Here is a 17968-nt window from a genome sequence, read left to right as displayed (position 1 = left end):
TGAGAAACAGGAATAGCTTCAAAATATCTTCCCATGGGACATTTATTAAGTGATCAAAGTTAATAAGACCAGTAATGAAATATATTGACATCATGTAGTCCAGATATGATGCACCTAGAAAAACACACCGTGACTTCTTGACATTTTCCCCAAAATGTCAAAAATGCCTGAATCTAACCTGAGAACATATCAGACAAATTCAAATTGAGGAACATTCTACAAATAACTAGCCAGAACTCTTTAAAAAGTGTCTAGGCCATTAAAGAAAATGAAAAACAGAAACTGCCACAGACTGTAGGAGACTAAGGAGACATGACTAAGTACAATGTGGGACACTGGACTGGATCCTGAACCAGAAAAAAAGACATTAGTGGGAGAATTGGTGAAATTCAAATGAATATCCCATCAATGCTGTATTAGTCCATTCTCACATTGCTATAAGGAAATACCTGAGGCTGGGCAATTTATAAAGGAAAGAGGTTTAATTAACTCACAGTTCAGCATGGCTGGGGAGACCTCAGGAAACTTACAATCATGGTGGAAGGCAAAGGGGAAGAAAGGGATCTTCTTCACAAGGCAGCAGGAAGCAGAAGTACAAGCAAGGGAAATGCCAGACACTTATAAAACCATCAGATTTAATGAGAACTCACTCACTACCATGAGAACAGCATGGGGGAAACTGCCTCCATAATCCAATCACTTCCCACTGGCTCCCTCCCACAGCATGTGTGGATTATGGGAACTACAATTCAATATGAGATTTGGGTGGGGACACAGTCAAACCATATAAAATGCTAATTACTTGCTTTCAATAATTGTACTGTGGTTTTGCAAGATGTTAATACAAGGGGAAGCTGAGGAAAATGCATATGAAAACTACTATTTTGTTTACCTTTTCTGCAACTCTAAAATTATTTTAAGATAAAAAGTTTAAAATATATAGTATGTTTCCTTATAAAAGTAATGCTTATTAATTATAGCAAATTGGGAAAATTTAGAAGCACAATTTTTTAAAAACAAACATCACTAATGCCGTCACCACAAGATCAAATCTGTTCTTATTTTGACATAATCACACATACATTAGTTTCCAAAATTATGCTAATAAAATATTCATTCGTATGTAACCTGCTTTTTTCCCCACTTAATATCACCAGCATTTATCCCATAGAATCAAAATTCTTTAATATTGTTTTAAACAGCAGCAAAGCATTCCATATACAGATATGTAAATTTATTTATTTTTTTATTTTAATTGTGAAATGATCCTTTATTGAAATATTTTTCTTTGTGCTTCTTAACTAGCTTGGTATTCCACCGCACCACTGTTGACATCATCTATGACGTCATGAGGGTGGTGGCCATCAATATCACAGCCCATAGACTCGACAGTCCCCAGGATCTCTTTAATGGTTCCAGAGAGTTATCTGGCGAAAGATCAGTGCCACATCTGTCCAGCAATGTGGACAATCTCATCAAAAGTGATATTTCCACTGTGTTTAGTGCTTTTCTGTTTTTTTCTATCTCTTGGTGGTTCCTTGAGGACTTTTATGATCATGGCCGTGGCAGAAGGTACCACCTCATTCTGGGTCTGTCTGTACCGAATGGTCAGTTTCACTGTAATCCTCAGATCCTTCCAGTCACCGATTGCCTTGGCAATGTCATTACCAAGTTTTTTTGGACACAGACCCAGGATGGCCAATCTTGAGTGTCAGCCCAGACATGGCACCACATTTATCCCTGGTGCACGTCAGGCATACGACTTTAATCTTGCTGGGGTTGAACTTCGGTGGCATGGTGGAGGCCGCTGGTGTCAGATGAACCTGGATTCAGGACGACCGAAGAAAGTTACACCTTGGCCTCCTTCGAGACAAAAGCTGAAAGCAGATATGTAAATTTATTTAACTCAGTATTTCCTGAAGTATATATTGCAGAGCCTCTTTTCTGTAGTATATTAAGAAGTATTATGTAATAAAGGGATTCAGTGACCAAAGGAATTTGAGAAGCTCTGAGTTAAATGAGGTCACATAATAGATTTCTTTTTTTGTAAGAATTCTGAGAGGATTCTTGCTAATATGCCTTGTGATTTCTCAAAATATATAGTATGTATGTCCTAAATTTATTTGATCACACAGTCCTGTGTGTGTGTGTTGGGGGGGGAGCATCTTATGAAATTTGTTTCTGCAGAACACATTTTGGGAGATTCCAATCTCTTTTTGATAATTTGCAATATTTCACTATCATATATAATACTGTTGTGACTATCTTGCCATATAAATCTTGCAGTATAAAACTTACAAGTATCTCTGTTTCCTTATGATCAAATCTCAAAAATATAATTGTTGAGTCAATGACTACACAGTTTGTAGAGTTTCTTGACACCCACTAGCCAAATTGTACTCCTGAAGGAATGACTAATTTATATTCTCACCAGCAGTATAAGAAAAGAGAGAGAAACTAGCTGGAGAGAAGATAGATTTCAGATGTCGAAAGAGAGGACTGTGAATATAGATTTTGTCAGAGGTAGTGCAGAAGTGGCTGAGTTCATTTTTCTAAACTTTTTAACTAAAAGGGTATTTTGATATCAATCTGGGCCACACTCTTTCTTGGAATTTTTTAACAACAGTGTTCAGTTCTAGTACAGTGTTGATTAGCTATGTATTGGTGGCTGGAATTAGCTCAGTCTTTGCCAATTTACAGCTACTGAAAATATTTCACTCACTCGTCTCCAATTTTTTTTCTAATATTTTAGAAACATTGGTTCCATCAGATCAAAGACTTCCTACACTTAGTTAAAATCAAGACTGCTATCAATTCACTTGTTGTTTGGGGGCCACTGGGACGCATGGAAAGTGGTATGGGGGGTGCCAATGTTAGCCTTCTTGACATAGGCATACAAAGCTAGGAGTCTATCTGTCCTAACCACAGGCTCCACCAGAGGCAGGTAAGGACCCAGAACTTATTAGAGTCTCACAGATCTCAATGTTCAGCCCAGAGGAGACAGTGATACTTGGTTTTCTTTAGAGGTGAGAGATTTTTAGCTCACCACTGGCTTCATCAACCTCTGGAGAAATCAGGAATCCTGAGCTAGATATTTAACAAAACTTTGTAAAAGCTGAAAACCGTGTAATGATAGTGTGTCTCTGGACCATAACAGCATATGGAACCAGACACCAGACTAGTTTTCAAGACAAAATGATCTTTGTTAAATTACATGAAAATAATAGGGAGGCAAAGTGTTGCAAGGATACCACCCTGCAAATGCAGAGGCCAGGGCTTTCCTTTGGTCTGTCCACTAAACTAATTTAATAACAAAGCTGTGTGACCTTGGGTAAACTACCTTACCTCTCTGGACTTCCTGCTCCCCCCATCTCTAATTAGGTCTTAAATGACTTCAATTTGCATATCAAGTATTTGACAAAAAGTCAAAATTATTGCAGAGAAAAAAACACTTAATTTGTAGTCACCATCACTGCTCATAGCATATCAATCATTTGGGCAGCAGCATGGATAATTTAATTTTCTCCCTGAGAGAGCATATCAGATGTCAAATGACCTACTTGATGACCTTTCAACCCACCAAGTTCTTTCTAGCCTCAGGGTATTTGCACTTACTACTGGATTTGCCCACAAATATTTCCCTTTGACTTGCAGCTATTTCTCACTTCTCCATCTCAGTTAAAATCTCAGCTACAATCTCTCCAAAGAGGCCTTACCTGGCCATGCATCGGTCACACTCTAGCCCCTCCTCATTCCATTTTAATTGCTTCAAAACACTTGAAATGATCAAACTTAGGGATTTGATCATATGCCTATTGGCTGTTTCCCTCCACAGAATGTAAGATCCACAAAAGACAGATCTTGTGGTCTTGTTCGGTCTGTGCCTAGAACATTGCCCAGCACTGCAGATACCCCAAGGCAGGAAGTAACTCAGTGGGCTGAAAATCAGAAAGGAGGCCATGTGACTGAATCTTGTAGAGTGAGGAGAAAAGTGGTGAGAGGTAATATCAGGGAGATAGGCAGGGGCTAGATCATGTAGGTCTTATTGGCTATGGTGACTACGTGAGAGTAATGCTGTTATTGGTAAACCTTTGAATCTTCTCAGATGTGTATACTTCTAAAAGCAAATCATTTGCAAACAGCTATATTTGACCTGTTATTAGTAAGCAGTTACTTGAGACATACATCACAGCTGATCACCGCATCCCAGTGTGTCACAAATTTATAGTTTTACAAGATAACCTCAAAAACAGGGGCTCCAGGGAGGGGCTTCAGAGAGTTTGTGAGTCCTTGAAGCAAAAGGAAAAATTTTGCTGTGAAGTGCAAGCATTCACGTGTGCTCCTGGAGAGAGGTTCCATGAGCTCCAGCCTATTCTCAATGGGGCCCTATCACCTCCCAATTTCAGAATCATTGATCCCTGCTCTCAGCTTTCTCTGAACACCTTGACTCTTCCAGCATCTTGCTCTAGGCTGGTAAATATGTTTGCTGTCTATTTAAATCACAACTTAAATCTGTGAACTATACTTTCTTCAGTAAGCAGGCAGAGAAGTAAACATGGGGAACATTTACTTTTAAAAAAAGATCAATTAGCAAATGACAACCCATGATAAATCAGCGCCCATGTGTTAAGTAACCGGAGTGCAGGCGGCAAGGGCTGATTTTCCTCCCAATGACAGTCGCTGAAATATCCACATAAGATGATCTTTAAATATTTGACTGTTGCCTTAAAATAGCTACCTTGGTTTTTAAAAAAGAACATAATTTTAAAACCCTTAGCTTATTTTTAATTTATAGTCCCTGAAAAAAATTAAGTGGCTGGCCCAATCATTTATATGCCTGGGCAAAAGCAATACATCTATATAAAAGTACAGTGATATATTTCTGTTGCTACTTTAATGTGCTGCTCCTCGCCCTGTATGTTCTGATTCATTGGAGAGTAGCAATCATGTCGACAGGCGCTGTTCTTCAGTTCCCATCAGCGACAACTAAAGGCCAATTCAAGGTTGTGGTGGGGTCATGAATCTAACACAGTCGCTGATAGAACAATTTCCCTTCCACACAGCATTGTCAGTGGGACACACTGGGAATAGACAGGGAGGCTGGCTGTGTGCATCTCTATCTTCTTGCTTTTTCTTTTGTTTCAGAGCCGGTGTCTGTGGTGTGTGCCAATCCAGCACCATTAGGGAATAGAGGGCCAGTCCGTGGAAAATTGATAAGGGAGAAAATTTCTAATGCCTCAAGAATTTGGGAGGGGGGTGGGAAATAAGCCTGTCCCTCTGTGCAAACAAGTCATCCAACAATGTATTACAAGAGGGTCAAGAGCAGAGAAACAGAAGGAGAGGCAGAAATAAAGGCCTGCTGGTTGGAAACAAGAGAGGTCTCAGAGCTTTACAAAAGAAAATGTTTACATTCCAGAGACTCGGAGGGTTAATTAAATAACCGAGTTCTCTGTTCTTTCATTGCCCAAATAGTGTCTGAATGAGTGAAGATGCTGTCTCTGCAGCTGCTTTTTGTGGTCCTTCCTCATTCTAGCCTGCAGTCCACGGCTGACCGGAAAGCCAACCTTATCTCTATTAGTCCAGAGGGTGAAGGCAGGTTTAATTTAAAACCAAGTCCAAAGATAGAACATCTTGGATGAGGCTTTGATAGCTAGTGTCATAACTTTTGTGGGCTAAGCCTCAAGTTTTGTTGAGATAAAAGCGTCTGGAAAGTGGGTGAAGGATGAGAACCAAGGACTTGGCTAGTTGTGGGGGCAGGTTCCTGCAAGTGAATGGTCCCAGGTCACAGTGTGCAAAGAGCAAGGAGTCTTGCAAGCATTAACAACATTTCACAGCAGTTTTAAACATGGACTTTGAGTTCAGAGAGGACACAAAGGGGTTAAGATTTCACTCAAAGACATGGTGGTGGGTGTGCAGCTGTGACTCGATCCAAGGCCTGTTGGAATCCAGAGCCCTAAGAGTCTAGGACTCTTAGTCCTAGACTTGTGGCTCCCTGTTTTGGATGCCCATGTGAAGGAGGTTGACCATGGCACCCACCTTTCACGTGTCCCTCTGCGTCCCAAACCCCAACTGCATTGATGGCAGTCCTGGTTGTAAGTGTGAGAATTCTTTGCCCTAATAGAATCAAACCTTTTTCAAATATTAGGATAACACTTAAGATGAGTGAGTAACATGTTTTTGATAGCTATAAACTGGCAAAGATGGAGCTAGTTCCAGCTACTACTACATAACTAAGCATTTCTCGCTTCCTGTAACAAAGACAGTTACTTAGGAGGAATAATAAACATGAAATAAACAGTTAATTAATCCATATAAGAGGCAAATCCACCACCACAGTTGCTGTATTTACTATTCTTTTTTTCACAGACAGGGGTTTTGCTCTGTTGCCCAGTCCTTGGTTCTCATCCTTCACCCACTTTCCAGACGCTCTTATCTCAACAAAACTTGAGGCTCAGCCCACAAAAGTTATGACACTAGCTATCAAAGCCTCATCCAAGATTGCCCAGGCTGCAGTGCAATGGTGTGATCATAGCGCACTGTAACCTCGAACTCCATCAGGTCCAGTCTTTTTGTTTTAGAGAGACTAAAACAAAAATACGTTTTTTTAAGAGAAAAAACCCCGATCTCTTAAATGATATTTTCTCCTGTATAAAATGAATACATTGTTGCTATATTTTTTACATTATTATTATATTATTGTTTTGGAAGTACTGTACTGAAAAATAAAAGAAAGAAATTAACCAACCTTAGTGCTACCATACTATTAATATTTTAATGTATTTCTGTTTCATTTATTTTATATGCATAATTTTTGTCAGTTATTTAATGGTCATACTGCTTACATACTTTTGAAAACAATTTTTAAAATTTAACATTTCTATGTAAGCATTTTCTCATGTTATTATGAATTCTTAATAAATATCATTTTAATGGCTGCTTAATGTTCCAGCAAGTGGATATTCCAGAATTTACTTAATGATCTCTTTATTACCAGACATTAACTGGTTTCTAATTTTTTAGTATTACAGATAATGTCATGATCAATATTTGGGGGCATTTTCCACATTTCAGATTATTTCCTTAGGCTAGATTTACAGAAGTAGAATTGCAGAGTCAAAAGGTATGAAAACATTCAACACTCTCAAGAAATATTGTCATACTGCTTTATAAAAGGGTTGGTGCAGTTTGCACTGCCGCTAGCAGCTAATCGAGCAAAACTGCAATGGGACTAAAAACAGTTTATGGAGTTAGACCAGGGTTTCTCAACCTCAGCACAATTGACCTTTTGTGCAGGATAATTCTTTGTTATGGGAGGCTGTCGTACGTATTGTAGTAATGTTTAGCAGTATCCCCGCTATCTGTCCACTAGAATTCAGTAGCAACCCTCAGTTATGACAACAAAAAATGTCTCCAGACATTGCCACATGCATCCTTGGGGGCAAAATCATCCCTGGTTAAGACCTCATGTGTTAGACAAACTTTAACTTTGACTTTCATTTGAGCTCTACCACATACTAGCAAGCCAATGTGGGCAGGTTACTTGATCTCTCTGGCTCATCATTTATTCATCGTAAACTGGGGATGATTACACTCAGCTCAGGAGTTGCTTGTGAAGATAAGATAGTGTATGTAAGGTGTTTCATACAATGCTTGGAGCCTGGTAACAGCTAGTAACTATTTGCAATTAAGATCATGGTGGCAATGCTGGAAGTGCCCTGTGAAAGGACCTGGCTTTTGTGTGAATGAAGGAGAGGTGGGTTTAGTGAATCACTGATATTCATTCATTTATTTATGCACTCATTCAGTTAGTATTTATTGGGCCATTACTACATGCCAGGAATTGTTCCAGGCACAAAGGATACAGCAGTGTATAAAATACTGTCCTCATGGAGCTTATATTCGAGTGGAGAGACAGGCAATAAATGAGATTGGAAAAGTTAATTATATGATATGTTAGGAAAGAGGATAGAAATTGTTTGGCAGGTGGGAGAGGTTGAAATTTTAGATAGGATAGATCTGGAAGTCTCTATCGAAGAGGGACAATTAAGACTTGACTTTGCCATGTAGGCACTGAAGGGCAGTCCAGATGGAGGGAAGAGCAAGTGCAAAGGCCCTGAAACAGAAATGTGCCCAGAATGTTCAAGGACTCACAGGTAAGCCAGTGTGCCTGGAGGAGGCTGGAGAAGGAATTAAGACATTGGGTGAGTGGTTGGCTGGTGGCCTGGTGATGAGGGATTATAGAGACTTTGTTTTTACTCTAAGTGAGATGGGAAGCCTTTAGATATCATTGTTTTGTACACTTTAAAGTAATCTTTGACAAGAAATTGTGGAAGGTGAAATAGGAAATATAAGAGTGTCTATCTAGGGGGTATAGAGTTGAGAGTGGAAAAATGGAAAAAACCTGCTTTTCCATGTCAACAGGTCTTACCCAGCCAACTTCCAAATTATTTCCATCTTATTTTGAAATAATTCCATCTTATTTCCACTGAAAGATCTAACTTGGCTGAAGGCAAGGCTTCGGGGTCAATAAGGAGAGCTGATTGCAGGACTATGCATCACCATCTGATTACCTGGGTGTGCTTCATGCTCTCGTGTGTGTGTGACATTGTCATGGATGCAATGTTCTCCTCAGAACATGGAATTCAACCTGCTGTCCTCTCTCAGTAACAATAATGAAGCTTTTAAAGCATCCCTGAAAGGTATGTCCATTTCTTTTTCTCCTTAAATATGATTGGGAAGTGATTAATTAGAGTGAGAAACAGACAATAACTCAAAAGAACAAAGTGGTATGGGTAGGGACCATAGTTTGGTCTTATGGCTAAAGAGTGATTGGACAAGTTATTGAAACAAATTTCTCTATGTCTTAGGGAATTTGAATGTTGACTTTCTTGGTGAGACTATATCAGTGGTATGCATTTCATAATCATCTTTTATTCTAGTATTATGACTCAGATTTAAGGTGTATCTTTTATTCATGTCAACAAGTATAAACACATGCTTGAATGTTTTTCTCCTTTAGTCCAAGGTGATATTAATCAGAATTCATTTCAGATAAAAATCTCAACATGCACTTGAACTCAAAGGTGAGAGTGCATTCCATTCTGTTCTCACTTTATGGAGCAACTCTTCTGCCAGCTCTGGCTTGGCAACTTGACTCTTTTGCAAAAGTTGGTTCTCAGGAGCTCCTACAGAGTGGAAAAAAATCCTTGATCCCAGTCTTAAAGATAAGAGGGATTAGCTCCTTGGTGCTTCATAAGGTTTGTGACATTCGAGGCGATTCTGTGAATTTCAAAATTTTAAACCTTGTTTATGTTTTGTGAAAGTAAAATTTAAAATTGTTTAATCCAATTCTGCTCCTTCTATTCATTTCAGAGTTATCGTGGAAGGATTTGCTAAAGGACCAAAGACAACTGCCAACCTCTTCAAAGGCAATTTTCCTGCATCAGTGTCACACAGGTAGATTGCTTGGGACTGCATTTATTCATTTCCCAATTTTTTTAAATCGTACTTCACCTTGGATTAATTGCTTGACAATGTCAATCCATTTCTTTGTGGGATCCCCAAATGGGAATTCAATCACTGCCTCTGATCAAGTGGGGAACCTTCATCTGCTTGGGATGACAAAGATCTGCAGTCTCCTCACCCAGCTACCTGTTCATCAGTTAGTCCCTTTGGCAGAATCATCCATGCCATTGGAACACTTGGGGATAGCCTGCCTGATTAGTTAAATTTTTCTTTGTCACCTCGTGAGCCTGCCTTGTCCAACTCTGTAACTTTGAATGTGAGGAAAAACTGGCTGTTTGTGTAAACATAAATGCCTCTTCACAACTGAACACTTTCCACCCTTGTATTAGGATGGTGTGCATTTCCACTGTTTGCCTGTTACTGTCACCCCACAGCTGCTCTGGGAAGCAATGCAGAAGGTTCCCTCCCTGAGTTCTCCGACCACAGTGGACGACTCCAGTGGCTTCAAGAAACATCCATGACAGTACTGGGGATCATTCGTTGGTTTCACAGTGTAGGGCCTGGTTTGTGATTCTCTCTAATGGCAGACCAGGCCTCTGGACCAGAAATGGGGCCATGGAAAGTGGCATGAAAGGATCTCAGCAACAGGAATAAACAGATTTGGTTCTAGCAGTGCTTGTTTCATTAGATATTTCAACCTGCTTAAGTGGAGAAATAGTAGACTTGAACCAATTGAAAAAACCCAGAACGATACACACCAATTTGCTGAGTCCTGAAAAGAATGCAATTCCAAATCTATTCATCTACCGAAACCATGACCCAAACCAATATCACCACCAAACCTACCCACCCCACCAAACACACACTCTGAGAAGGGAGAGAGGATGCGGAATAAGGACCAAAGGATTAAAGAAGAATGTCAAATAATTCTGCATAGTAAACCTGAACTAAAGTAAAATTATATCAATCCTCCTTTTCCCATCAAAGACTGAGCATTCTGGTTAATGAAATAATTTAAGGTACAGTAATTTGCTTTCACGGAAACACAATTTTCCAACTTATGAGTAACTTATATGTACAGTGGGAATCAAAGTATCCTTTTAGTCTTTAATAAACCAAGCATTATAATGAAGATAGTGTCTAAACAGCTTTCTCCTTTTAGTGGTCCGCACCAAAGAAGATAAATAGATGGGCTTAGCTACAGAAAGGCAGCCTCCACAGACAGGAGGTGAATGCATCCTTCTTCTGCATGTGGTGCTGAGAATTGGGAGGGCTTGCAAACTTCACCGGACAGGTGTATCCTTCTTTTGCTCTTCACAGTTAAGGATCTGGAACATTCCAGCTCCTTGGCAGCAAGGAAGGTTACCAGATGTAAAAGAACGCAAAGGGTATCTCTGGAGGAGAAAAGTCTTTCAGGCTCTTGGGACTCTTTGGACCCTTGTTAGAAATTGTGTGTACCCTACTCTCCTGGCCTGAGGAAGAACCGATGCTTGGCGAAGGCTGAGGTTTAGATGTATGGCCACAGTGGCTTTGCAGCTCGTTTTCTGAACCAGTCCAATTCGGAGGCAGATCGAGATTAAGCTCAAAGAGAAGAATTTTAGGCATGGGATAAAACTTAATTTTCCTGATGAGAGAAATGAGAGCTAAAGTGAGAAAGTGCTAATGAAAGATTCCAGGCAAAGAAGGCAGGGCCAGCTGCCAGTTTACAAACTGAGCTTGGCAGACAGACAGTGGAGCTCTGACAGGGAGTTTCTCTGTGCATTTTAGAAGAAGGCAGAATAGATCTAAATGCAGCCAACCTATTGATTTATTCTCTTTGTACTGGACATGGCTTTTTATTAAAGAAAGCAGATATTCAATAGTGTTAACTAGTAATGGGAATTGACTTTTCACTAATTGCACAGACCTTGGCATTAATACACTTTAATGGAACCTGGGCTCTGTGTCCCTCAGATCAATCCCGAAGTTTTTCTCTAACTCTTTCTGGTCAAAGGATATGAATGGCATTGTAACCGAGGAGACCTTTTTTAATCTTTTTTTTTTTTTTAATTCATGGAATGAATAGGCTGAGGAACTTTCTTTTATTCCAAGAGACCAGAGAGAGGGGTAGTTCTGTGACTTCTAAAATACATAGAAACTTTGTGGGTCTGAACTGACTTTGGAGCTTGGTGTTGGCAATTTAAAATTCAGTTGTGAAGGCTGGAAAAGAGTTTAGCTTCCCATGCACCTGGCTGGGTCCTGCCCTTGCTGGATTTTCTGAGGCAGACGAATCACCACTTATTTATCATTCATTTGTTAGATTTATTAAAAGTAAATAGGATCCCTGACAGCTGCTGGGCTCATATGCAGACCTGGAGCCAAGGATATGAGAATATGGGTAGCCCTGGCAAACCTCTACAGCAGAATCTGACCTCACCAAAGGGAAAGTAGCATGGCATACCAGATCCTGCCATGGACAAGGACATTCCTGAAGGCCCCAGGATGGCAAATGTCCCAACTCCAGTTCTCCAGGAATTATTGTCAGATTCTTTCTCCAGCCACAGAATATTAGGAGGATCCTCTAAGACAATGATGCTTCAAATCCAAAGCATGAGACTTTGAGGTTCTCAGGGAGGATGTTTGTCTCTTATTAATCTTTGAATATGACAATTCCTGGAGTCAGGGCCAGACAAACCCGGTTTAATTTATAGTTTTACCTCTTTCTAGCTTGGTGGTAATAAGTCAGTCTCTGTGAGCCTCTATGTCTTCATTTGCAAAAAAGAAAGAAAGAAAATAGAAACACATGATTCAAAGGGTTGTTGAGGGATTCAAATAAAATACTGTATGTAAAGCTTTTAGCTCATTGAGGGCTCCTTCAGTGAATGGTAGTTATGATTATCATCATCTTTGAATCCTTCGCACTTAGACATTGGGCATTTTGTAAATGTAAGTTCAGTGAATGGGTTCATTCTTTGATTCAACTAATTTTGTGCCTGTTACATGCCAAGCACTATTCTGCAGTGCACAGACACACCTCCTGACCTCATGGAGTGTACAGTTTGGTGGGAATACAGGAACAGAGAAGTAAATGAATGGATAAACTGTCTGAAATTTAATTTTGGATAGTAATAAGTTCCATGAAAGATATTAAGCAAGATAAGAGGATCGAAAGTGATTTTGTATATGTTTGTGTGACAGAGAGAGAGAGAAAAAGAAGAAAGAAAGAAAAGAAAGAAAGAGAAAGAAAGAAGAAAGAGTATAGCAAGTGAAGGTCTATGGGTGAGACAAATGAATAAATATAAACAGAGATTTCTTCAGGTACTTATAATGCATCTGCCCTACTTGTTTTAATACCTTTGGCCAAGTGTTCACTCAACAACATATCTCTGTACTTGATGAACTCTTGTGCTGTAGTTTCTCTTTACCTAGTGAGGTGAGATAACTCCCATTAGGTGAGTGTCTTTATTTGTTTTCATCCTTGACCTTGGGTCCTTTTTCCTAAAGTGTCCCCCACCTCCATCCCAGGACTTCATCTCAAAAATAAACATAAAAGGCAGGAAAATGCCTCCCTTTTCATATCTGACTTCTGTACTTCCAGGCTTGCCTTCCAGAAGTGGACAGCCATGGATTCAAGATGTGTCAAAATTGGAAGGAGCTTTGTTTCTATTTGGCCCTGAAAAGTGTTCCACAACTGGACTGCCATATTGAATTATTTTCAGCAGTAGAAATTCTTCGATGGCCCATTTCAGACCAGCCTCTAATTTGAAAGTAATAACATTTGGGCAAAGCTTAGATGCACTAAGTTGCTGCCGAGGGCTTGGTGGGCTTTGAGGTAATTGGTTTTACTCAGTTGCTGATGCTTCACTTGGACAAATGAGAAATCAAACTACAGCTCAGTTTGCAGAAAAGCCCGTGTCAGCAGTTTAGTCTGACTACTATTTCAGAGCTTGTTATATTATTGGCAATAAAATGCAACTAATATACTGTTAATTAATATTGCATCCTACAGCTAATTTATCACATTATTAATCAGAGTGATAAAGCCAAGGAAAATGCAGCTTACCTTTAGTGTCCTTTCATCTCTTTTAAACACTTGTATTTACGCACAAATAGGTGTTTTGGTCAACATTGTCAAGTGTTTGGGTGGTCCTGGATGAGTGTATTTTATTTGCAAACAGTAACTTCCCCCTCAGGAATATTTTATTTAGCAAGACAGGACTTAAAGTGAAAGGGTAACCATTTCTGATCGTAACCTTGGCTTTGTGCTTCTAGTAATTATCCTTTAATTTCATTACCCTATTTGAAATAGAGTTGTAATTGGAAAAAAACAATTTGACATTCCCTGATGCTTACTCTGACATGCACTATTTGCTTTTTATTCAAATGTAAATTTTCACCATAATACTATCAAAGAAAGAAAAAAAATTAAGCAAAATTGAAATGTCAGTTGCAATTTCTGACATGCAGGCAGTGTCATTCACTGGTTTTGTCTGGAAGGCAAGACTTTCACTTCAGATGGAAAAAAAAAATCAAACTGAAATTAGTATGCTTTGAGGAGAGGGAGAGATGGATGGCAGAATCACAGATCTATTCCTTTGGGATATGTGTCCACTTTGCACAGTGGCTTCAAAATATCAAACAAGCATCCAGCTATGATTTTTGGATGAATAATCCTTTATGCTTAATATAAAAAACACTTTTCCTTAAAAACTGAAAAATCATAAACTTACCTCTATTTTACCCTAGGCATCTTGAAGGTGTAATTTTCATTTGGAGCATGTGTTAGGCAGTCTCTAAAATGGCTACAATGATTTCTGTCTCCTGATATCACACTCTTATAAACTCTTCTCTTTTGGTTGTGGGCTAGACATTTTGACTTGCTTCTAATAAATAGAACACAGCAAAAGTAATGGCATGTCACTCCCAAGATTAGATTATACAAAGTACTGTGGCTTCTGCTTTGGGCTTCCCTGTTTTGCTTTCTCACATGTTCACCCTGAGGGAGATCAGCCTCCATGTTGTGAGCAGCCCTATGGAGAGGCCTTGTGGTAACTGAGGGAGGTCTCTGGCCGGTAACCAGTTGAGAATTGAGGCCTTTGGCCCATTAACCCATGAGGAGCTGAATCTTGCCAACAGTTTGGAAGTGAATCATCTTTCAGTTGAACCTTCAGATGAGCCCACAGCCCCAGCTGACACCTAACTATTACCTCATGAGAGAACTTCAGCCAGAGGCACCCAGCTAAGTGGCAGCTGGATTCCTGACCAATAGAAATTGTGAGGTAATAAGTGCTTGTTCTTTCAAGCTGCTCAGTTTTGGGGTAATTTATTATATGGCAATAAATAATTAATATAGGGTAGGAGAGAACAAATATTAAACTAATAATTCTAGATAAGTTTGGCTTGTCACATAGGCAGGAAAAAAACATAAACAATGGTGGAGGATGACAACTGCTGTGTTTTTGCCTCAGTATGTTTCCTCAGATAAGTCATATGACCTTTCTGTGCCTCAATTTTCTTATCTTGATCACAGGTATAATTTACACACAAAATGTCTGTGAGTTGGAAATGAAATAATAAATGCAAAGCACTCAGAAAATTTCTAAGTACTGTACATACGTGAAATGATTGGTATTAAAGCTGAGAAATAACTGTTTCAGTCCAGGACTCAGTGTAGGACTCACAGTATAGTGGAATGAGCACTGTGCCTCAGTAGACCTGAATTCCAACCCAGCACCTTTCATTAACCAGCTGGGTGACCTTGAGAAAGCCACTTAAGTTGTATCAGCTTCAATTTTCTGATCTGATAAACCTTTAGACACTGAAAGAAAGGAAAACAGGACAAGTAAGTTTTGATTGATGAAAGCAGCCTAGGAGCATGGGTATAGTAATTGGGACCCTTTGGTCAAAAGTGACAGAAATCCAAGGTGAAATAGATTATCTCTAGGATCTACTTTAGGGTTAAAAATATTGATTTTTTTTAAAGCATTTCTTTTGCTTTCACTGGGTTTCCAACAGAATGTGATTGTAATTTTCTTTTACTTCAGAATCTACTTTTAAGGACATTTGTGGGCTGGAGTGAGTGAAAAAATATGTTTTTTGAGAGCATGGTTAGTCAAGTGAATCCATCATATAGGCAGGCACTGAGCAAAGGGGTTGGGCAATGATGTCTAGATGCTAGGCGTGGTAAAGTTGACCACCAGTGCCTGTTTCTGGTCTTCTGATTCTTCCATCCCACATTCTTCCTATAACTAAGTCAGCCTAGAAGATGTGTGTTTATTTCAGGAAGAATCTCACACACTTCTAAAGTCTGAATTTTGCAGCTATGGCCTTAATGATGTTATGGGGCCAGGGCAGGCCCTTGTACAATCCTGAAAATAAGCATCTCCTTGAATCATTTGCCCTTGGCGCTTCCCTTGCCTCATCCTTGTTCTAGCCATGTGTTATTTCCTTGGTCCCACTGAACATAAGCCACAGGAGTACCCCCTTCCTTATAGGCAGAGTAGACAGCTGCTTCACCAGAGTTCTGAGGATCCTCTGAAGGTCCCCTTGATCACACTGTCTTCCTCACTGGCCTTCACCAATATCCAAAAGTCTAAGCCTGGAGTTACTTCCGAAAGCAAGAAGGTGTTGGGAAAAGTATGCAGGATTTGGAAACAAGAGAAAGGGTCTGAAATTCAGGCTCTGGCAAAAAATAATGGGGAACTTGGGCAAGTCACTTAATTTATCTGGATCTAACTTTTCTATTCCATAAAATGAGGAAGATATTATCTGCCCTCCTTTCCTCTGCATCTTTATGTGGATCAACTGAAATACTGATTGAAAAATCATTTTGAAAATGGAAAAGCAATATATAAGTGCTTACTGTGATTATTAAGGGTTAATACATTATTATCTATGTTAGAAGCAGTAAAATTATCTGTTCACCCCTTGGAACACTGAAAAGAAAGGAGACAGGTTGAGTAAACTTTGATTGATGAGCAAGGGGTGAGAGCATAAGTATATGAGTCAGGTCCCTTTGTTCAAAATGGATAGAAATCCAACTTGAAATAGTTTAGGCAAAAGAAGAAGGAAATTTCTAAAAGGGCATCACACTTAACCTAGAGTAGAACAAGGTGGGAGATGGTCCTCAGGGAAAATTGGAAAAGGAACTCAAATCGAACCATAACTTCACTTTTCTCATGGCAGAGCTTCCTCTTCTGTTATGTAGACTGTCTTCTTCCCTGTGCTGGGAACCTGGCTTATGTGTGCTCCCACCATTCAAATCCTGTTGTTTCTACCAACCAGGAGGAGCTGATTCTCTCTATTGTTTAAGTTTTGAACATTCCAGGGAAGGATGCTGATTGGTTTGGCTGAAGTCAGATACCCACTTCTGGACCAACTGGAACCAAGGAGGCAGAATCTTCGTGGGGACACATAGGAACTGCCTTTCCCAGAGGAGTAGGAACGCCTTGAAGCAGATGCCAAATGTTGTCCTCTGCAATAAGGCCCTGACTAGGTCACTGGCTGCCACATACAGTTGTTTAGGTTGTGCAGTGTGCTGCATGCAGCAGCCCCACCTGGCTGGGGAGAAAGCTAAAATGCAAGGTGCCTGCACAAAAACAGTTCATTTCTAAAAAGAAATGTACTCCAAAATGTGGCAGAAAAAGAAGTTTTGCAAAATGTTAGTCTAAATGAGAGAAGATGGAAGAAGTTTCCACTGGAGGAAAAGATAAGCCTGTGCCAGAAAAGCCTTTGTCAGCCCTTTGCTCAGAGCCCATGAGTGCCAGGCAGTGGACTGGGATGGGTGACAGCTCCATTCTCAGAGGCGTGCCCTCCCCACATTTTATATTGATGAGATGAAATGGGAAATTAAACTCTGACACCAATATGAATAGGGGAAAGAAAGGAAAAGCTACAAAGCGACAGTTCTTTCTTCAGACTTCAGAGAAATGATTGCCCTGCCTAATGTTGGCGGCATGTTCCAAATTGTTTGGGTTGTTAATGTGGAGGAACTCCAGTCATCTTTGTCCCCTTCTGCCAGGATGAGTAGGTGGCATTGAACCCACCCGTCCCTCCTGCTGATGCTGCCGGGCTAATTTTCCTCCAGCCCACATGTGCTAATCCTGACTTTGTCCTGCTCGAAAGCCAAATGTCCTCTCTCCACTGCCTGCCAACTCCTCAAACAGGCGCCCACGGCCCTTCACTCTATGGCCCCAATCTGCCTTTCCAGGTTCCTCTCCTGCTTTCTCTCTAAGTCCATAAATACAGACTTTTGTTGTCCCCTGATATGCCAAACCAAGTCTCACCTTTGAGCCTGTGCTTGGGCTATTTTTTTTTTTTTTCTGCCTGTAATGGGCTGCTTTTTGAAAACTTCCCTATTCATCCTTTACAAAGCATTTCCTGGTTCCCCCCAAGTAAATGCGACTTCTTTTTTTCATCCCCAGAACTCATGTCTTGTACTCCTTTATAGCACTCACCACATTCTGTCTTAAGTCATGGTTGCACTTGTTATATTTCATTCTCCCAGATGAAAAGATCCTTGAAA

General features: G+C 40.0%; 1 long non-coding RNA gene and 1 pseudogene across 5 annotated transcripts; one reads left to right on the top strand and one right to left on the bottom strand.

Annotated features, from left to right (window-relative positions):
* On the bottom strand, nt 1256-1884 carry RPL12P30 (ribosomal protein L12 pseudogene 30; annotated as a pseudogene).
* LOC102723403 (uncharacterized) lies at nt 6763-14878 on the top strand. 5 transcript variants are annotated; one of them, XR_001748162.1, is made up of 4 exons: nt 6763-8153; nt 8493-8699; nt 9373-9456; nt 13043-14878. It is a non-coding gene; the product is annotated as an uncharacterized LOC102723403 (long non-coding RNA). The 5 variants fall into 5 exon arrangements; XR_931154.3 differs by lacking the exon at nt 13043-14878 and adding an exon at nt 9900-10597; XR_428889.4 differs by lacking the exon at nt 13043-14878 and having other exon boundaries at nt 9373-10597.
* Nucleotides 14879-17968: the final 3090 nt, after the last annotated feature.

The sequence above is a fragment of the Homo sapiens genome, chromosome 11 (genome assembly GCF_000001405.40).
Source record: "Homo sapiens chromosome 11, GRCh38.p14 Primary Assembly".
In the NCBI taxonomy this organism is placed as follows: domain Eukaryota; kingdom Metazoa; phylum Chordata; class Mammalia; order Primates; family Hominidae; genus Homo; species Homo sapiens.
Note: the sequence above shows the minus strand (reverse complement) of the source record. Positions and strands in the feature narration are given on the sequence as shown.